Source organism: Homo sapiens, chromosome 12 (genome assembly GCF_000001405.40).
Source record: "Homo sapiens chromosome 12, GRCh38.p14 Primary Assembly".
NCBI classification, from domain to species: domain Eukaryota; kingdom Metazoa; phylum Chordata; class Mammalia; order Primates; family Hominidae; genus Homo; species Homo sapiens.
In genome coordinates this window covers 54,189,080-54,210,839 of record NC_000012.12, presented here as the reverse complement: position 1 = coordinate 54,210,839, position 21,760 = coordinate 54,189,080, and the positions used below count along the sequence as shown (strand labels likewise).

Below are 21,760 nucleotides of genomic sequence, written 5' to 3'. Positions count from 1 at the left end.
GGTCCTGAGAAGCCCTTGCAGAAATTGGCCAGGGAAGAGGCCCTCACATGCCCGATCCCACCTGTTTGGGGCTCAGGCTGCTGTGAGAATATGGAACCCCCAGGCTCCTCAGGCCCCAGTCCTTGCAGGCCTGTCCACTGGGCATCCCTGTTCAGTGTATCCTCTCAGCAGAGCTCTGGGGGCAGGGCAGGGGGTCAGACTCAGGGGCAGCTCCTGACATGACAGAGCCTGCCATGAGATAAACATGGGGCCTGGAACCCAGCCTCTTGTTTGGAATTCTTGGTGGTTGGGGAGGGTGATATGGGGAGGGAGCGGTTGGTGGGAAAATGAGTGGAGTGGGGAGAGCGGACCTCATGGAGGGTCCATGGGTGCTGAAAGAGGAGACCATAGCCTGGCGGCCCTTGACGTCACTCAGGGACTTGTTGCTAATGGCTCTGGGGAAAGGGCTAGCATCCAAAGTCCCTTGAGATTGACTTACCCTCTTATGAAAGCACCCAGCACCACCTCTGAGTAAGCACCTGATGGGCACTGGGGAGGGAAGAACGGAGGATGGAAAGAGCTGTGGATTCTCAGCACCTTAGGGTAGTGCAGCAGCGCTCACAAGTTCTTCTCTCTGACTTCCACCTCCCTCTGTAAGGGATGGGGGCGTAGGGAGGGTGGAGTGAGAGTGCCCGAGATTTCCTGCTCTTCCCTCCAGAGTCTCCCTGGGAGTTGTTCATCTTCAGCCAGGTTCTGAGTGTTATCTAGAAGACACTCCAGGGAACTAGCTCCAGCTCTGTGGGAGCCTTATCTTGCCTGCAGACAGACTCAATTAACCTCTTCTCGCCCTCAGTGCATGTGTGGAGGGCATCTTCCTCCCATCCCTGGTGGCCGTCCTTTCTTTTTCTTTTTCTTTCTTTCTCTTTTTTTTTTTTTTTTTTTGAGATGGAGTCTCGCACTGTCGCCCAGGCTGGAGTGCAGTGGCGCGATCTCGGCTCACTGCAAGCTCCGCCTCCCAGGTTCAGGTCATTCTCCTGCCTCAGCCTCCTGAGTAGCTGGGACTACAGGTGCCCGCCACCATGCCTGGCTAATTTTTTGTATTTTTTTAGTAGAGACGGGGTTTCACCATATTAGCCAAGATGGTCTCGATCTCCTGACCTCTTGATCCACCCACCTCAGCCTCCCAAAGTGCTGGGATTACAGGCGTGAGCCACCGCGCCCGGCCTGGCCCTCCTTTCTGTATGTCTCTAGGGGCATCCCAGATATTCCTCCATCTCCATGTCCTCCCCCTCCCCAGTATTTATCAGGCTAGGACACCGCTGGAAAGGAGGTGTCTTCTATTTTCTCTTGCTCCTTTCCCCTGAGCTAACCCTGCCCTGCATCCCTGCTAAGCCCTTCTTAGGATCTTCCCTTCATCTCTCTTCTTCCATTCATCCTTTCCTTAGAACACAGGCATTCTATGGCCAGGCGCAGTGGCTCACTACTGTAATCAATTCCAGCACTTTGGCAGGCCGATGCCGGCCGATCACTTGAGGTCAGGAGTTCGAGACTAGGCTGGCCAACATGGCAAAACCCTGTCTCTACTAAAAAACACAATAATTAGCTGGGCGTGGTGGCGCGCACCTGTAATCCAAGCTACTCGGGAGGCTGAGGCAGGAGAATCACTTGAACCCAGCAGGCGGAGGTTGCAGTGAGCCAAGATTGGGCCACTGCACTCCAGCCTGGGCAAAAAAGCGAGACTCCATCTGAAAAAAAAATTATTATATATATATATGTCAAATTCTCAAAATAACCATGAGGAACTATTATGTCCAATTTACAGAAGAGTAAACTGAGGCTGAGGAAGGTCAAATCATGCTAAATCATGTGCCCAAGATCACGCAGCCAGGAACTGGCAGAGGTGGGATTCAGTGGTCCTTTCGAGGTGGCCCATGCCTGGGGGAGTCGGCCCCCTCCCTCCCAGGCTCGATGTAAGGAGCCTGGAAGGGGCCCTTGTGGTGCCCAGGCAGCCCCCTCCTTCTGGCACCCAGCAGGGTTCAAAGGAGGGGCTGGGAAGCTGGGCGGGGGACCCCTGCCTCCACAAGCCTCCCCCAGCCTGGCCAGATGCCTTTGGGGCCTGGAGACAAGGGGCAGAGAATGGAGCTGCCATAAACAGTGTCCGGCTGCACCATGAGGCTGTAAAACCAGCCCAGCAGAGCTGGAATGTGGAGGGATCTAGGAAGGATTTTCCGGTGGGTCTGGCCTGATAGCATCTTTGGGGCCTGGGGTCAAAAGGGAGCCCACCTCCCTTCCCTCCCTCTTCCCAGCCATCCTGCTGCCCTCTCTTTTCCCCTTCCCCCACCTCCTTTGCTCCCACTTCTCCCCCCATCTTCCTCTGCTCTTCTAGAGACTTCTGTCATGTTTCTGTAGCTGTGTCTAAGTGTCTCCACCCCTACCTGGTCTCTCTTGGCCCCTTCCTCTCTGGGAGGTGGCGCAGCACCCACTTGAATCTGTTGGCTGCGTAACTTTGGGGCTCCTCTATCTTATTCCCCCTCATCTGTAAAATGAGGAATAATGCGGCACCTATCTCAGAGGCTAGATGAGGTAAGATCTGTAAAGCACTTAGGACAGTGCCTGAGTCATATTAAATGCGATCTAATTGTCTGTTAATGTAATAAATATTAGTGTGTCTGTTTATTCCGGTTTCTCTTCCCTGCAGAGAGATCTGGGTCAGCTGGTGGGCTTTCCTCTACTTATTCCTTTTCACAGCCTTCACTTAGGTCCAGGAGGCGGCTGGTGGTGCGACTCTAAGGACAGGATGAATGCTGGACATCCCACCTCCCACCAGGCCAGGCCCCCAAGTCTAGCTTTGCAGACCAGGCTGCCATCCCTTCTCTGGCCAGCAGAGGGAAGCAGATGCCCAGACTGTGACCTCCAGGAAGGGGTGTGCGCTCACCTGGCCCTGCTGAAGGCCGAGGAGGGCGATGGGAAGGGCCCAGTGGTTTTGTGTCTAGGTTAATTCCCAGATGCTTCGCTCCTGCTCCCGTGCTTCCGTGTGTGAGGATGAGGTGGGGAAGGGGTGTCTTGCCTTGTTACCCATGTTGTGACATGTACAGGGGCAGTTGTGTGTTTTAGAATGTACCAGGACCACCAAATCAGCGTCCTGTGGCCCCAAAGGACTCAGAGATTGTCTAATGGGCCAATCCCCTTATCTTCAGCTGGGGAGACCGAGCCCAGGGAGGGCAACGTGCTTGTTCAGGCTTGCACGGTGAGCTCATGGCCGAGCTTTCAGACGGTTACTGCACCATTCTTACTGGTGTGCATCTCTGAGTTGATGAGAAGTGGGTGTGTCTGCTGTACCACACAGAAACCCAGGTCTCAGAACAAGTGCCTGCTTCCCCCCACCTCCACTGCTGGGGCTAACTCCTGGAAGAGGCCTTGTCCTCCCCTTCTCTGGCTTCCCTGTCTCTGCACCAGCCTCTTCCTCATGGCCCAACTGACCAGCTGAATGAAGGATATTCACTACCTTCCCTAGAATCCAGGTGTCTGGAGATTGGGGCTCTTGTAATGATAGTGAAAGCTGCTGTGATTACTATTGTGGCCAACCTTTGTAGACCACATGTAGTCGTTGTCACGCATCAGATCATTTAATCACTTAATCCCGCATCGATCTTTCAAGGGAGGCACTCTAGCTATTCTCATTGTACCCATGAGGAAATTGAGGCACAGAAAGGTGGAGGACCTTGTCCAAGACTGCACAGCCAGCAGGCAACCAGGCCATCCCAACCCAGTGACGAGTACTAAGCAGGATGGATCCCATGTGATGGTGCTAGCCATACCCCCAGTAACCACCTCTGGCTGCTTGTGGAATGCTCAGCATGTGCCCAGCACTTCTCATTTGATCTTGGCTGCTCACAATAACCCTGTGGCATATGTTTTATCTCCACTTTGCAGATGAATGAACAGAAGCTCAGCTAGTAAGCAGAAGGACCAGGCCTCTATCAGAGCTCTGGGGGGCTCTATGTTAAACCCATGCACTTAATCATCCACTGGTCTGGTGCTCTGAAACTTTACATCACCTTAGGATTTGTCAAAATGTAGATTCTGACTCAGTAGGTCTGGCGGCAGGGCCTGAGATGCTGCATTTCCTTTTTCCTTTCCCTCTTTTTTTTCTTTTTTCTTTTTTCTTTCTTTCTTTTTTTTTTTTTTTTTTGAGACAGAGTCTCGCTCTGTCGCCCAGGCTGGAGTGCAGTGGCGTGACCTCAGCTCACTGCAACCTCCGCCTCCCGGGTTCAAGTGATTCTACTGCCTCAGCCTCCCGAGTAGCTGGGACTACAGGGGTGCGCCACCACCATTGAGGCACCTGGGAGCAGGCTGCACTCCTTTTGTTGGCCTCATCCTGTTTGTCTGGGGTTCTCCCTCCTTCCTCCCCACCTCCTCTGCTTCTTGCTGTCTCTACTCTCCCAGCCCTGGCATTTCATCTCATCTCTGTTCTCTGGTTGACTCTGTTCCCAGCCCTCCAGGACTCAGAGTCACAGGTGTGATTTTGAATGGTCATTGACCAGTTGCATGGCCAGCTCACTATCCCTTTCTCCAGCTCAATCCGACCTTCCCATGACCTGAGCCTGGCTTTCTTCAGCAGGAGACCTTTAGGACAGACAACACCCAGAGGCTGACAGAGGGGACCTCCCTGTCTGAGAGGTCCTAGAACAGGAAAGTGGGGCTCATCCAGGCTGTGGGAATGGACCTTCTGCAGGAGCCAGACTGGATGGGGGCCTCTAGAACCTCCCCCCTGCATTCAGTGGCAGCATTCAGATTAATCTCTCCCCTGGCCTTCAGCTGGGAGTGTAGTGGAGTGTTCACAACCCTTGGTCTTTTCATGCCGATGATACTGTCTGTCCTTCTGGGAGGTCTGCTGGCCTCACATTTACCTGGAGAACGAGCTGCTCGTCAAGTTGCTTACCAGGGCAACCACACCACAGAGCAGGCGTGCAGAGCTGGGTCCTGCAGCTCTCCTGGCCCCAGATGGGGCTCAGGTGGCTGAGGGAATGACGGTATCTCAGCTCTCAGCTGGGACTCAGACTGGAGAAAATAGGAGCAAGCAGCTCTCTTCCTAGCCTTTTCCTGGGTACTTTAGGAAAGTTCCTGCCCCCTGGGTGGAGACCCGATAGTTGTTCATCCCATAAATGCCTACTGAGCACTGCCTATGTGTGAGGTGCTCTGATGGCCATGAGAGCTTGAGCCCACCTCAGGTCTGGGTGACTGAAAGAGGAGGGCTCTGTCCATGGGCCAGAGTGGGAGGGAGGTCCCAGCAGCACCAGACAGAGAGGAAAGGCCAGACAGACCTTTTCTGGAGTCAGGAGCTGAGGAGGCATGGAGGAGGAGTGAGATGCCTCCCTGCCCTCTCTAACTAACCCCCTCCTGCACATGGGGGTTCTGGTCTGTAGATGGTGAGCTGGGCAGGTTGCTCTCTCTGCCTCTCCTGGCCTCATTTCTGTACTTTGAAATATGACAGCATGAGGCTAAGCCAGGAGTTCTCAGGAGATGACTTAGAAGCACCTGGGAGCATTACAATTCTGATTCCTCGACCCCTCTGATCTAACTGCTCTGAGGTCCTGGGGTCAGGACCTAGCATTTGGTCCCCTGAGCCCTGCCTGATTCTAATGGGCAGCCAGGTGATGGGTAGTGGAGGCAGAAGGCTGGCGGACCTCCTACAACCCCTCCAGAAGGCTAAGGGGGCACCCAGGGCCCTTCCTGCTCTGTCAGGCTGCAGTTTGGGGGAAGCCACTGTGCTTGAGTTTTTATAGTGCTAGGCACTGAGTGGCGTTCATTTAGACCCCAGACAGGCGCTTACTATCCCCACTGTGGGAAGGAAGCTGAAGCCCAGAAAGGTAAGTGGAACAACCCTGAGCTTTTTATTTATTTATTTTTTATTTTCATTTATTTATTTATTTTTATTTTTTGAGATGGAGTTTTGCACTTGTCACCTAGCCTGGAGTACAATGGTGTGATCTCTGCTCACTGCAACTTCTGCCTCCCAGGTTCAAGCCATTCTCCTGCCTCAGCCTCCTGAGTAGCTGGGATTGCAGGTGCCTGCCACCACGCCCAGCTAATTTTTGTATTTTTAGTAGAGACAGGGATTCCCCATGTTGGCCAGGCTGGTCTCAAACTCCTGACCTCAGGTGATCCACCCACCTTGGCCTCCCAAAATGCTGGGATTACAGGTGTGAGCCACCGACCGCACCCGACCAATCCTAAACTTTTAAAATCTTAGGTCCCCACCACTGCAGGTCTATAGCGTTTTCCTCCACTTTCTCTGCGTTGGTTTCTCTTCTCTTGATGGACAAGACACTTTCTTTTTCCATCTCCTGCGCTCTTACCTACCTCTTCCTCTCTTCTCTCTCCCTCTAATCTCCAGAGAAGGTGCTTATCAACTATTTTCTGAGAAGTCCTCCCTGTCATCTGTCCCAAGTTTCTTCTCCAAGGAAAGTCCATATTCCCTGATCTCCCCTTGTAGGTGGGGAGGAGAGAGCGCTGCAGACATTGCCTCTGACTGTCACTGCTGTTCCTGGCTCCCCTGGCCTCCTGCTCCCTTCTTCTCATCTATCACCAGTTTTTGCCCTTCTTCCCTCTTCAGAATTCTTTGTTTGGTTTATAACAGAGGTAAAAAGCCAGAGTAATTAATTCCCAGAGAGAAATCCTCTCCAATTCCAGCAGGAAGGATTGAGGCTAGATGCCTGGAAAAACTTCCAAATAGCCTAAGTGAGTAGTTCTGAATAAGGGTGTGGATCCAAGGGGAAAGACTGGTCTCTCTCCAGGCTTATAATCCTCTTCTTCTTCCTGGTCCCCCCTTTACACATGCCCACAAACCCCTGCTAGGGTGACTTTGTGCCCATCCCCTGACCTCTTCATGAGTGCTGCCAGGGGCTCAGAGATCATGGGCTCCTCAGGGCCACACTGATGCTGAAGGATGGGTTGGGGCACCCTCCTGCCCTGGCCTTGACCATTGTCCCTGCTCTGGGCCCTGTGGCCTTACCATCCACTCCAACCGTCCCTCATCTTCTCAGGATGGGATGCTTGGAGGGTCTGTGTGTGGGAGATCTGAGGGTGTGCTGGGTCCATCTGTGGAGCCAGCCGTGTGTGTGGCTGTGCATGGGGTGAAGGCATACCTGGGGGTCTCGGTGTGCCTTTGCCTCAGCCCTTGCCCCAGAACTCCAGAAGGCCCCTCTGGTCTCTATCCTGCCTCTGGCCCTGGGGTCAGCTGGTAGGTGGGATGAGTTGGTGAGTGCACAAGCTTGGGAGAGCCACTGACACTATGAAGTAGGCATGCCGACACCTGAGGCTTCCCTGATGTTGCACTGAATGCCCTCAGGCCCCAGGCCAGATCTGCTGTCCACTATCTGGCTAAATGGGCCCTTACCAACCAGGCCCAACCTTCTGAAAGTAGGCACTGGTGGAGGATTGAAGGGCTGTGTTGGGGACCTTTTGGCTCTTCCTTCTAAGGGCTCCTAGTCTGCCTCCCTCCAGGAGCTCTGGAGTGGTGGGTTTCTAGATGGGCAGAACCCATCAGTCCCATCTGCACCCTCCATTGCAGGTCCAGAATTATTCTGTAGCGGGTCAGTTCCTGACCCCTCTCTCCACATCTTTGTTTTTTTTTTTTTTTTTGAGACAGAGTCTCTCTCTGTCGCCCAGGCTGGAGTGCGGTGGCGCGATCTCAGCTCACACGGCAAGCTCCGCCTCCCGGGTTCACACCATTCTCCTGCCTCAGACTCCCGAGTAGCTGGGACTACAGGCACCCACCACCACACCTGCTAATTTTTTGTATTTTTAGTAGAGACGGGGTTTCACCGTGTTAGCCAGGATGGTCTCGATCTCCTGACCTCGTGATCTGCCCACCTTGGCCTCCCAAAGTGCTGGGATTACAGGCATGGGCCACCGTGCTTGGCCCACACCTTTGTTTTTATTTTAATTTTATTTTTTGAGACACGGTCTTGCTCTGTCAATCAGACTGGAGTGTAGTGGCTTGATTACGATTCACTGCAGCCTTGACCTCCTAGACTCAAGTGATCCTTCTGCCTTGGCCTCCCATGTAGCTGGGACACAGGTGCGCCCACCGTGCCTAGCTTTTTTTTTTTTTTTTTTTTTTTTGTACAGATGAGGTCTCATGTTGTTGCCCAAGCTGGTCTCGAACTCTTGGGCTCAAGCAATCCTCCCACCCTGGCCTCCCAAAGTGTTGGGATTACAGAAGTTAGCCACTGCGCTTAGCCTTTATTGAACTCCTGGCCTCAAGTGATCTTCCAGCTTCAGTCTCCCAAAATGCTGAGATTATAGGTGTGAGCCACTGTGCCCAACTCTTCCCACATATTTGAAGAAGGGTGTTTGTTTGTTTGTTTGTTTGTTTGTTTTTTGAGATGGAGTGTCGCTCTATTGCCCAGGCTGGAGTGTAGTGGTGTGGTCTTGGCTTACTGCAACCTCCGCCTCCTGGGTTCAGGCACTTCTCCTGCCTCTACCTCCTAAGTAGCTGGGATTACAGGTATGCACCAGTACGCATGGCTAATTTTTGTATTTTTAGTAGAGACGAGGTTTCACCATGTTTGCCAGGCTGGTCTCAAACTCCTGACCTCAGGTGATCTGCCCGCCTTGGCCTCCTAAAGTGCTGGGATTACAGGCGTGATGGCGCCCGGCCTGAAGAGGAGTTTTAAAAATGATTCAAGTTCACGTACGGAACATTATCATTGCATTTGGTTCTTTCCACACTTCTTTAAGGTAAAATGGTGGGCCAGAGGGAGTTTTACTTTTTTTTTGAGACGGCGTCTCGCTCTGTTGCCTAGGCTGGAGTGCGGTGGCATGATCTCGGCTCGCTGCAACCTCCGCCTCCCTGGTTCAAGCGATTCTCCTGCCTCAGCCTCCTGAGTAGCTGGGACAGGCATGTGCCACCACGTCCAGCTAATTTTTGTATTTTTAGTAGAGACAGGATTTCACCGTGTTAGCCATGATGGTCTCGATCTCCTGACCTCGTGATCCGCCCGCCTCGGCCTCCCAAAGTGCTGGGATTACAGGTGTGAGCCACCGTGCCCGGCTTTTTCTTCCTTTTAATGAATGAGGTCACTGAGGCTCTGTGGGGAGGTGTGCCCAGGGTCACCAGATGGAGAGCGGCAGATTAGGAACAGAATGGGGTTAGCCTGTGTCCTCTTCCAGTGCTCCTTCTGGGCCCTACTCCTTCCTGATCAGGTGCCCTCGGGGCTGGGGCTGCCGATTTGGCCTCTCACAGAAGGTGGGGCCCTGGGTTCCCTGTCCTCTGCATCAGCAACCCTGGGCCCCAGCTCTAAGCACGGGTGTGGTGGTGGGAGGTGGAACTGCCTGTCCTGCCTCTGCACGGCCACAAGGGGGCTCCAGGACCAGGTTTTTCTTTTTGCTGGAGCTGCAAGGGTTCCCAGTAATCCCAGCACCCTGAGCTTTTCTGGAAGTGCCGGTTATCCTTCTGAAGCTGCCACTGAAGGGTCTCTGCCAGGCTGGGAGGCCATCAGAAAGGGCGCAGCCTTTGCACTTTATAATCCTATTCCAGAAGTACCTCCCTTTGCTTGGCTAGGAAGTCCTTCCAGTTGTCTACCCTCCATTTCTACTGCTACAGGCCGGGAGAGATGAGGCTGAGTGAGCCACTCTTCTTTCTTTGCTTACTACTCCCCTACCCAAGGCTTGAAGGGAAGTACTTGTTCTTGTCCCCATTCCCTGATCATTAGAGCTCAGACTGCTCTCCTGTCACTGCTAAGGGCTGGATAGACAGCAGCAGGAAAGATGTAAGTTAGACATCAGGAAGGACTTCCTGACAGAGAAGGCCATGGGCTGCTGGGTTTGAGTATCTGAGGAAGGCTGAACAAAGGGAAGTTGGCTGTTCATCTGGGGTGAGGCTCTGGGAAAAGTCCTCTGTGCTCCACACCCCGAAGCTATACATCCCTGGAAGTGGGGAGTGGGGCCTGGGTACAGTTATTTGCTACTGTGTCTCTCCGAACCTCAGGGAACCACAGATATTGCTGGCTCCTTGGGCTTCTGGGATGGGGAGGAGATCTGCGTGGGGGCTTACAAAGGGGTGGAAAGGAAAACACCTGAGCCACTCCCTCCCTTGGCTGGTGACCCAAGGCAGAGGGAAGGATGACATGATGGAACAGTTTGCTGCATCTACTTCAGTTGGCTTTCAGAGCCCCTGTGAGGTCTTCAGCTTCTTAGGTTATCATCAACCTACTGGGCAAAGACTGAGTCATGCGGGTGGAGTGCTTCTTGCGGCAGGTGGGGTGCTTCTTGCGGCAGGAGATGACGCTGCGCAGGATATGAAGGAGTCTGGTCCCCTCTGTTTTCTGCACCTTGACTTTCCAAGTGGGACATGAAATGTCATTTGCCTCTTCTGTCTTCAATGCTGAGGGGACCCTGGGGTCAAGGGAAGAGCAGGCCTTTGGAGTCAGACCTTACCTGTTGGAGCCGCATGGCGGACCGCTCTGTCTCAATCCCCGCATCAGAAGGGAAGGGTGGAATAAGAAATCCTACTTCCCAGGGCTGTGGTGAGCTTTGGGAGACGGCAGATGTGAAAGGGCCTCTGGGGGGGGGGGAGCACAGCACAGCAGGTGCTCCCGCCCAGACTCCTTTGTTCCTGGAGAAGGGGAGATGTGTCCATTTCCCAGATTGGAACATGGTGGCAGGAATGATACTAAGGCTCAAGGCCAGGATCTCTGCTGGACATGCTCCAGAGTCAAAAGTTTGGCCTCCCGCTCCCCTGGCTCCTCCTGTTTCCTCCCCTCCCTCTTCCCACAAGGCCCTTCTCTGGCTCTACTTTCTACCCTGCATCCACCTCTTTTCTTACTTTTTTTTTTTATTCTCCCTTCCTTCTTTCTTCCCCTTTCTCCTTCAGCTCTATTTCCTATTTCCTCTGTTCCTTTACTTTCCTCTCTTCCTCCCTTCCTTCCTTCTTTATTTTTTATGAGACGGAGTCTCGCTCTGTTGCCCAGGCTGGAGTGCAGTGGTATGATCTCAGCTCACTGCAACCTCTGCCTCCTGGGTTCAAGCGATTCTCCTGCCTCAGCCTCCTGAGTAGCTGGGACTACAGGCGCCCACCACCACGCCCAGCTAATTTTTTGTATTTTTAGTAGTGACGGGGTTCCACCATGTTAGCCAGGATGGTCTCGATCTCCTGACCTCGTGATCCGCCCGCCTTGGCCTCCCAAAGTGCTGGGATTACAGGCGTGAGCAACCGCACCCAGCCCCTTCCTTCTTTTACTAAGCATTAAGTTAGGTGAAAGAGATGATCAAGAGCACTAATGCACGTGCTGTACCCCCGATCATCTCCTGAGTTGTTTTCTTCTCAGTCTTTCTTTCTGATCTCCCCACTAGGCTGATGCTTCTGTTCTGTGGGCCTGGGATGGGAAGGAAGTTGATAATAAAATCTGGTTCAATTAAATGTGTGCCTGTATTTGTGTGTATCCTGGGGAGACAGCTGAATAGCACATGGTGGTCCTTGCCCTTGAAGGACTTGTGGCTAGGGAGGGAGGCTGCGGTGTCAGCAGCAGTGTGACAAGTGCTGCCTCAGACGTTTGAATAGGTTGCTGGGATCTGACGAAGAACATCAGAAAAGGCTTCACAGAGGAGGTGATGGTTGAGATGGGTTTTAAGGGATGAGCTGGAGTTTGCCAGGTTCAGCAGTGGGTGGAGAAAAAGGCAGTCCTGTCAGAGGGATTACCACAGGCAAAGACATGTTGCTAAGAAAGGGCAAGGAGAATTTAGGGAACCGGCAGTAGTTCTGTATGGCTGAAGCCGAGGGAGTCATGGGAGACTGAAATCCCAACCCAGAAGGGGAGCAACGATGCCCAATGGTCAGCTCACTAGCCATGCGAGAGTGGTGCAGAACAGGGCATTGCTCCCTGCTAAATGAATGACAAGGGGCAGTGGGAGCTGGGGGTGTGGAGAGGTGTGCCCTGGGCCTTCATCTCCTCCCTACTTGCTGGCTATTCTGCTCTGGGAAACCTACATTAACTGATCCTGGGCCTCGGTTGCCTCATCTATAAAACGGGGATGGTGAAGCCTTATCTCCTGAAGATGGGTAAGACAGACCTGATTTCTTTAGGTGCCTTTCAGCATTGAGAGCTGTAGGATTATGATCACTTGGGGTTTGTGTGATCAGAGAAGCCTTCATGGAAGTGGAGGACTTGGTATCTGGCTTTAAATGATGGCTAGTCTGCGGCCGGGCGCAGTGGCTCATGCCTGAAATCCCAGCACTTTGGGAGGCCGAGGTGGGCGGATCACGAGATCAGGAGATCGAGACCATCCTGGCTAACACAGTGAAAACCCATCTGTACTAAAAATACAAAAAAAAAAAAAAAAAAAAAGTTAGCGAGGCGTGGTGGCGGGCGCCTGTAGTCCCAGCTACTGGGGAGGCTGAGACAGGAGAATGGTGTGAACTCAGGAGGCGGAGCTTGCAGTGAGTCAAGATTGCATCACTGCACTCCAGCCTGGGCAACAGAGCGAGACTCCACCTCAAAAAAAACAAAAAAGAAAAAGATGGCTAGGCCAGGCGCGGCGGCTCACGCCTGTAATCCCAGCACTTTGGGAGGCCGAGGCAAGTGGATCACGAGGTCAGGAGTTCAAGATCAGTCTGGCCAAGATGGTGAAACCCCATCTCTACTAAAAATACAAAAAATTAGCAGGGCGTGGTGGTGGGTGCCTGTAATCCCAGCTACTCGGGAGGCTGAGGCAGAGAATTGCTTGAAACCAGGAGGCAGAGGATGTAGTGAGCCGAGATCATACCATTGCACTCCAGCCTGGGCGACAAGAGTGGAACTCCGTCTCAAAAAAAAAAAAAAAAAAAAAATGGCTAATGTTGAGCGAAATTGAGAGGAGTGGGGAAGACTCGGGGGACCATGACAAAAGTTGGAGACAGGACAGTGCAGGGCATGTCTGGAGGATGATGTGTCCAGCCAACTTTTGGGGTTGAGGCTGGCTTTAAGGTAGGAGAGGACAGGAACACGCCTTGTGCTGTCAGGAGGTACGTGAGAGTCATGGACTCTGGTGCATGATCCCCTCCCTGCCCCCAAGCCTCTTGGGACCAGACTGAACTGGGAGCCAGAAACATGCAAATGAGATGCAAACAGCAGGTGACTCACACCCCTGCACCCACTGCCTGAGGCCTGTTTTGTGTGGGTTTGAGCCACAGGACAGAGGGTCCTGTACCCTTTACCTTCCCTGCCCGGGCTCTTCTTGCCTTACTGGCTAAGCCTGCTAGATTTTGGGGACACAGGCCTATCAGCTCTTTCCCTTCTCCAGGCCCAAGAGCTATTCCTTCCCCACCCCTCCCCTGCTAGAGCCCTCGCCCCTCCCATTCATCCCGGGAGGACTGGCTCGGTTCCTGTGGAAGCTTCCCAAAGCCCGCAGGAAGCGTCTGAATTTCTCTGACAGGGAGAGTGAAGAGCAGGTCAGAAAGATGACCTGAGACAGAGGGAGTGACTGGGATGGGGTCTTAGACAGGGGAGACCACAAGGTAAGGGACAGTCTGTTGAGAGGCCCAAGAAAAACAGAGATTTCCAGGGAAGTAGATAGATGCAAACCCAGTGAGCAAAAAGAGCCTGAGACCCTGAGAGACACATTCCAGCAGAGACCCTGAGTGACAGAGACAGACGGAGAGAGCCCTTCTCATGTGTCCAGCCTGGGACATGCTGTACCAGCGCCTCTGTCGGCTTTCTCTTGCCTGTCTGCCTGTCCCTGGCTGACGGTCCCTTTGTCTGTCTAGCTCTTTGTTTGTTTGTCTGTTTGCCTGTCTCCCTCCTGGTTGCCCCTTTCTTTCCCTTCTGCTGTCTATCTGTTGGTCCAGAATTCTCCGTCTGTCATTGCCCTCTGCCTGTCCACTATCTATGGAGAGCAAACTGCCCACTGGGATCGTGGGGCCCCTGTGTCCTTGCCTCCTGATCTTGGACAGGTTCTTGCTTTTCCTTCTCCTGATTTTGGGTCTCAATTTCCTCCTTTCTAAGGTGGCCCTACTTTCTGCCTCCTATCATGTTTATGAGCCTCAGGAGTGTGGAAAAGTGACTGTATTTATGGTTGCTCAGGCATCCTAACAAAGGGTTTAACGCATTTGAGGAACAATATTGCTCTTCAACCTTCTAAGGACAAAGCAAGAAGACAATAATGGCTGCAGCATGGAGCACAGTGGTTAGACATTCAGAGAGACTTCCTAAAAGGGCAGTGTGGAAAATATTAGAGAAGGCCTGCTAAGACGTTAAACAACCCCTTTCATAATGTCCTGAGGAGGAGTCCCATGGCAGGAAGACACGCAACATGACCTTCCTTAGTCTGTGTGGTCTGAGAAAAAGGCTTTTGATGTTATGAGATAGCAGTGACTGGCAGGAGGCGGCTAGGGTACAACCCTTGCCATCAGCTATCCTAGGCTCCCACCTGCACAGCCTCTCAGGTGGCTGGGGATTGGGCCCTGAGGGAAAAAGCGTGTGGAGGAAGTGCTATCTATCTCCGCACCTCCACCCTGTTTCTCTGTCACTTCCCCAAGCTGAGGACCACCCCGCCCTCGCCCCCCGATAATCCATGAGAGATGGCTGCTGGGGACGGAGTGATGTATGTAATGCAGATAAAATGTCAGCAATTCTAAATGGGTCCGGAGATGCAGCCGTGGGTTGGGGGGAGGGAGAGAGGGCGGAGCAGGGGGGAGAGAGGAAGGGAAAATGAGATGTGGTCCTTACCAGGGATGGCAGCAGGGACAGACACCCTCCTCCCCCCAGCAAAGGCCAGAGGAGGGGTGGGCCCAGGAGACAGGAGCCCAGATGAGATTTTGAAGAGGGAGCTGGAGGGTGGGGGTTAGAGGGGAGGAGGACGCGGGCGGGGGCAGTGGGGCCGGAGCTGCTGATGTATAGCGGTTTCATAACTTCCTCAGTATTAAAGGCAGGTTCATGGGGAGGGCAGCGCCATTAATCACCAGGCTGAATGGGGCTGGGATTTGCTGAGAGGCGCGCTTGCTGTCTGCTGCGCCTGCTCAGCTCAGGGTGGGAGGGGGCAAGCAGGGATGTCCCTCCTGAACTAAGGGGTGAGACCCCAGGACGCTATTCTGGGTGTTGGGCAAGTGGGTCCTTGCCTGTAGAGCAGGGGAGCCAGGGGCTGGGGACTGGCAGAAAGAAAGAGAAGGATGAGGAAGGTTGTGGCAGGGGCTAGGAGAGGAGGGTCAGGGGCTGTGGGGAATGATGGGGGCAGAGGCTGAGAGGATTCTAGGGGAGGAAAACTGGGGAGGGAGGATTGTGCATTTGAACATGAAATTGATCACATGTAAATATAATGCAAATGACATGCAAATAAGCATAGGATTTCTCTGGGTCCACAGCTCAAGCATTCTCTTTCTTGGATTGAGCACTGGGGCCAATTTGCATTCAGTTCTAGGCCTAGTGCCTCGTTTCTTTATTATTCATATTTTCAGAGGGAGAACTCAAATCTTGTTAAGGGAGTGGTGGGGCCAACGTGGGCTGGTCCTCTGGACTTCTTGGAAAAGGGTGAAACATCAGGAAAATCAACATGCTTGAGTGACAGTGAGTGACAGTGAGGGAGCAGAGTGGTAGGACTCCTGGGCTACATGCCTGAATTAATGGGGGTCAAAGAGGCAGAGGCTCAACAGTAAGGTAGAAAGGTGGAGAGAACAGACATATCCCCACAGCTTATCTGATAGACTCAGAGCAGATAAGACAAGGATGCATCATGTGTCCCGTGAAGTAGGCATTGTCATCCTCTCTTCCAGGTGAAGAACGAAATGATTAGCCCAAGGTTCACAGAGGTCATGAGCTTCCTAAGGTCACACTGCTGGCAAGTGGCAGACTCCCAGCTCCAAATGTCCTTGAAAGTTCAGTGCTCTTTTCAACCTGCTATCAGAACATCCTTGAGCTGGACATGGTGGCTCATGCCTGTAATTTCAGCACTTTGGGAAGCTGAGGTGGAAGGATCACTTGAGCTCCGGAGTTTGAGACCAGCCTGGGCAATATAGTGAGACCCCCATCTCCACAGAAAAATTTAAAAATTAGCAGGGTGTGGTGGTGCACATCTGTAGTCCCAGCTACTTGGGAGGCTGAGGTGGGAGGATTGCTTGAGTCTGGGAGGTGAAGGTTGCAGTGAGCTAAGATTGTGCCACTTCCCTCCAGCCTGGGCAACACAGTGAGACTTTGTCTCAAAAAAAAAAGGCTGGGCATGGTGGCTTACTTGCGCCTGTAATCCCAGCACTTTGGGAGGCTGAGGCAGGCAGATCACCTGAGGTCAGGAGTTCAAGACCAGCCTGGCCAACATAGTGAAACCCTGTCTCTTCTAAAAATATAAAAATTAGCCGGGCGTGGTGGCAGGTGCCTGTAATCCCAGCTACTCAGGAGGCTGAGGCAGGAGAATCCCTTGAACCTGGGAGGCGGAGGTTGCAGTGAGCCGACATTGTGCCACTGCACTCCAGCCTGGGTGACAGAGCAAAACTCTGTCTCAAAAAAGAAAAAAAAAAGTATGTCCCTCAAAGTGTTGCTGAGAGGAGTAAAGGAAACAATCCACATAAAGCACTCAGGGTGGTGTCTGGTGTGGACAAAGCACTCACTAACGGTTAGTTATTGTCACTATCACCCTTACCACTATTCTGAAAGATGTGGAATGGAGGACAGAGACAGAGAGAGGGATCACCAGAGAGATGAGAGGGGCAGTATGGGTGGGAAGGAAAGGACAGGTTCAAGAGGGCTGCAGGAGCAAGAGAAGGCAAATGACAGAGCCAGGGCCAGAGGCAAGGAAATTGTCTTTTGGGAACATTGCAGGGGAAGGAGCAGAGCTCAGAAGAATCACCCTAGGTTCAAGTTCCTGCTCTGTGACTGGTTCCCTGGGAGTGCAGGGCAAGGCAGGGCTGGGCCTCGGTGTTGAGTAGGCTGGAAGCTAGGATTCTTGGGTCGTCCTCCCACTTGGTCCCATGGCCACTCTCTCAGACTCATCTTGATCCTCTTCTAGTTGCTCAATTTGGTTCAACCTGTGGGAGATGCTCCTCCCATTCTCCAAGTCTCACTTCCATCCTTCCTGCTAAAGGACTTGGGGATCAGTCCCATTCCCTTGTCTGTCTGTCTATCTGATGTCTGTGTGGTCCCTCAGGATAATTGCTCTGGACAACTCTAACACCACTCAGACAGATTGTCCGGCCTCCTGGCCCTGACATCTCCCACCACTGCATCAAGCCAAATTACTCGGCCCCCCCAAGCCCCGGGCTCTGGTGAAATCCGATTAGTGAGGAGAGAGCTGCACTGAGCTGACAGCTCCTCCGATAATTGCTTCCCAAGTAAGTGATGCAAATCAGCCCATCCAGCCTATTCCTGCTCCTCTCTTGGGGACCCAGGCGTCCAGGCCCCAGGAGATGGAGGACACCAGAGTTGAGGAGACCTAGACGCTGTCATCTTCCTCCAGTTAAGTAGGCATAATCCATAAAGCTAGGTTGTGCTGCCTTGGGGCTGAGGTGTGCGTAGCAGGGTAGCGAGGCTGAGCCAGGGACCCCACTGGCTCTGCATTTCTGTCTTAACTGAGAGGGTGTCACTTTGTCACCTTATTCTCACCCCTTGGAGAATAATCCCATTTCTTGTAAGGTAGATGAAGGCAGAGATATAGAAGATACAGAGACAGCGAGATGGCTGAACCTGTTGAGAAACAAATCAGGCAGGTGCGGTGGCTTACACCCATAATCCCAACATTTTGGGAGGCCGAGGTGGGAAGATCACTTGAGCCCAGCAGTTCAAGACCAGCTTGAGCAACATAGCAAGACCCTGTCTCTACAAAAAAAATTTTTAAATTAGCTGGGTGTGGTGGTGCGCACCTGTAGTCCCAGCTACTGGAGAGGCTGAGGCGGGAGGACTGCTTGAGCCTAGGAGGTCGAGAGTGCAGTGAGTCATGATCATGCCACTGCATTCCAGAGTGAGACCCTGTCTCAAAAAAAAAAAAAAAAAAAAAAAAAGGACACAAATGGATGAACTCACAGCCTAGCTCCTCTGGTTGTGGGCCCTGCAGATAGCTTTCTCTCTTTGTAAGTGCCCCTCCTCACTAGGCTGAGGAAAAGACATGGAGTGTTAAGTCCCCACAGATGGAATGGGGAGGCATGGGGAATCTGATCAAGTCTGGAGACTTTTGCATCTGTGCCAAGGACATGTCCTTGGGATGCAGTGGCCCTTGCTTAACTCACACATCAAGGAGCCCTTTTCCCTTCCCCAAATCAGGGCCCTTTAAAGGGCCTGTTAATGCTTCTTCCTTAATGCATTTCCTTCCTACATCTTTACTTCAGGTTCTTTCTTGCTGTGACCTCCTTATCCCAACTTCTGCTGACCTTGGAGACCTGAAGAGTTACTTTCCTTGCAATCCTGAACTTCCAACTCCAAACCTAACCCTGCATGCAGGTCACTGTCTTTGGGAAATCTACAGGATGAGCTCCCCAGTCTTGTCCTCCGTGCTTGTGTGTCTGATAGGGCTTCATGGACTGGGTCTTGGGTACTCAGACTATCATCTGCCTGAGACCCTGGCAGAGCAACAGCAATAACTACCCTTTGTGGAGCCCAAATTCTGTAATAAGCACTTAATGTAATTAAGTCATTTAAACATCACAAAAGAAGATAGAGATTACAATGATTATCCCATTTTACAACTGAGATAACTGAGGCACAGAGAAATTAAGTAGCATGCCCAAGGTCACCATGAGTAAGTGGCAGAGCTTGGATTCAAACGCAGCAGTCTGATTCCAGAGCCCAAAGTCCTGAGGCCTCTGCTATGCTGTCTTCACTGTCCTATGCTCTTTTGATGTTTGTTGGGCTAATCGGGACAGGACCCAGTGTAGTGGAAGTGGGGAAGGTGGCTACACTGAAAGTTAAACACCAGAACCCCCTTTGGGGCTCCCCATGTCAGAAACAGTGAGTGGGAGCTGAACAGGGTGAAACTTAGTATCTATGAAGGGGGAAACATGGCCTTCACCTTCTCCAATTCCCGACCTTTGTTTTGTGCAGTGGGAGGCCCCGCAGCTAGACAGCCCTTCCCCGTGAGAAGCGGCGAGGCAAGGGAAAGGCTGAAAGATCCGCCTAGCAGCCCAAGTGAGCAGAGTCGGAGCTAGGACCCAAAGAGGCCGATAGATGGCGCTCATGGCCCAACACAGCTCCAGCAGCCCGAGGAAACAAAAAAAAAAAAAAAAAAACAAGTGAGCCGGTTAACCCCTTCCCTCCCGGGCTCAGGACAGAGGGGCTGGCTGGTGGGTATGCCTGGAGCCCTGCCCCAGGACCGGTGACTCAACTCTCTAGGCTCTTACCCAGGCGATAACCTGGGTCATCTTCTGTTCCTGCCCCACAAGGCTCTACCCGTAAATCACAGTCAGCAGCCTCCTGAAGACTTCCCAGAAGACATGAAGACTAATAAATGGAAGAGACTGGTTGGAAGGGCTGCACCCAAGCCCATGTTTCATCTCTTGGGCTCTATCTCTTGAAAGCCTCAGGGTCCCTGTTTCTAAGCACGCCTACTTCAGGAGAGCGCCTCACCTCCATCTTTCCTGGGAGTGACTCACTGGGCGGGGAGGAATAGCATGGACTAGAGAGAGAGAAGGCCCCAGGCCCCTCTGACATTGGCTGTAGGGACTCACTGTGGGCTGCCTAAGCCTCAGTTTCTCCTTATATCTGGACTTCCTATCTCTGGGTTCCCTGGGGTGGATGGGCTTATAGGGACAGAAACAGTTATTCAAGTCTTCTAGGAAATTGAAATCAGGGGTGGGGAGGTGGAGGTCCTGGGGGATCTCTGCTTGCCTGTTACTCATTTCACTCATTATTGTTCTGCCAGAAGCAGACTTTGAATGTGGAGGGGCTGCCAAGATGACAAACTAGAACAGAAGTGCTGGGCAAGCAAGTGACAGAGGGGTCGGGGTGGACAGGAGGGTTGTCCAAGGGATGGTGGAAATCCTGGAATTTTTAAGCAATGAGATGACACCACAATGAGGTCCCTTCACCTTATTTTTGGTCAGAAACACAGAAATACATAGACACACAGAGATGGGGGAACTTGTTCTAGAAGCTCAGATTCTCTTATTCCAGTCATTCTAGGGTAAGAAGCAGAAACAGGGAGATGTTCACAGAGGGAGACAGAGACCTGCAGATACAGAGAGAAAGCTACACAAGAGACTAGAAATAGAGATAAATTTACATAAGTAGAGAGGGGCAAATAACATAGGCAGAGAGAGACACAGAGAGGGAGAGGATCTGGTAAAAATTAAAGCTCAGGAAATTATGGGCTTCATGAGGTGGATGATTAATTCCATTTCCAAAGTCTTGCAAGGGTCAGGGTAGTTTCTCACCCTTGATGTCAGCAGGTCACTGCTCACAGCTCCCTGAAGCTCCTACTGCACCCATTAAGTTTTTGTTGATAGGAGATCAGACAAGTCCTGGGAAGGGAATAGCATCCTTTTTCTCTCACTTCTTCCTGTTCTGGGGTTTATAGGTCTCCTTTTCTACCACTCACAGGGAGACCTTGCTTCTGTGATTAGAGCCTTGGCTGTGCTAAGGTGTGTGGAGATTGTGGGGTGGGAGGAATATAGAAGATAACTAACCTTAGGGGGTTCCCAGTCTAATGAAAGTTTTAGAGTCACGACACAGAACCAGACCCAGATAGAGCACAAGAACAAAACTAGGAATAGGACAGATTTGGACATAGATATTGGGATGGGGGAATGGTGGGGGAATGGACTGTTAGGTGCAGCCATGGGATGAGGATTGATCAGGGAAGCCTTCCTGGACAAAGTATTTGAGGGAGAAGATTTGGATGGAAGAGTGATAGCTAACTTTATGTGTCTACTTGAGTGGTCTAAGGGACACCCAGATAGCTGGTAAAACATTATTTCTGGATATGTCTGTGGAGTGTTTCTGGAAGAGATTTGCATTTGAATTGGTAGACTAAGAAGATCACCCTCATTAATATGGGTGGGAACCATCCAATCCCTTGGGGGCCAGTAGAACAAAAGAGTGGAGGAAGGCAAATTCTCTTTCTTCATGAGCTGGGACATCTATTTTACCTGCCTTTGGACATCATTGGAGTTCCTGGTTCTTCGTCCTTCAGGCTCTGGGACTTAGCAGTGAGCCTCCTCCCCTGCTTTGGACTTTCCTGAATTATACCACCTGTTTTCCTGGTTCTCCAGTGTATAGACAGCAGAGCGGGAGACTGTGGGACTTCTTGGCCTCCACAATCCTGTGAGCCAATTCTTGGAATAAATCTCGTCATATAGATAGATATCCTGTTAGTTCTGTTCTCTGGAAAACTCTTGACTAATACTGAGGTTATAGGGTTGGGCAGATAGCAAGGCAGAGAAAGAAGTCAAAATGGTGACACTCTGGAGATGGGCTTGGACAGTAATGGGGGATGCCCCTTGCTAAAAAGTTGTTAGGAGCTACCAGAAATGTCTTCGTGGATGTTCTGTATAAGTAATGGCAGGCTGCAAAGGAGAAGTCTCTTATACCCACGGTGGCAGGGGGCCTAGCAATGGTCTTTAGCTATTGTTAATACCTTCAGGTGGGTGAGGGATTGGGGATGGTTGAAGCTTCCTGATTTGCAATCCCTTTGGGAAAATAGTGAATGAACTTTTGGAAGGGCGATGCCCTTTAGGGATAGAACCCAGGATTTCCTAGGTACTTACAGGCTGTGGCTTTTCACTTCTCAAGACTTCCTGATTTAACGCTGATGGAAAGATTAAACTACAATTCCCAGCGATCTTTAGGGCTAATTTAGTGCGCCTTCCGGGATTGGAGCATTTCCGGCG

The 21,760-nt window shown here is 52.0% G+C and overlaps 1 long non-coding RNA gene across 2 annotated transcripts, besides 1 other annotated feature; it reads right to left on the bottom strand.

Annotated features, from left to right (window-relative positions):
• Nucleotides 1-295: a silencer, noted in NCBI's record as "tiled region #1888; K562 Repressive non-DNase unmatched - State 7:EnhWF". NCBI's record gives its function as "represses a minimal TATA promoter and a strong SV40 promoter by Sharpr-MPRA in K562 cells {active_cell/tissue: K562}" and the evidence as "EXISTENCE:reporter gene assay evidence [ECO:0000049][PMID:27701403]".
• LOC105369777 (uncharacterized) lies at nucleotides 8,507-21,743 on the bottom strand. 2 transcript variants are annotated; one of them, XR_944983.1, is made up of 4 exons: nucleotides 21,638-21,743; nucleotides 21,020-21,192; nucleotides 20,306-20,392; nucleotides 8,995-10,380 (listed from the first exon to the last, which is right to left on the bottom strand). It is a non-coding gene; the product is annotated as an uncharacterized LOC105369777 (long non-coding RNA). The 2 variants fall into 2 exon arrangements; XR_944984.2 differs by lacking the exon at nucleotides 21,020-21,192 and having other exon boundaries at nucleotides 8,507-10,380.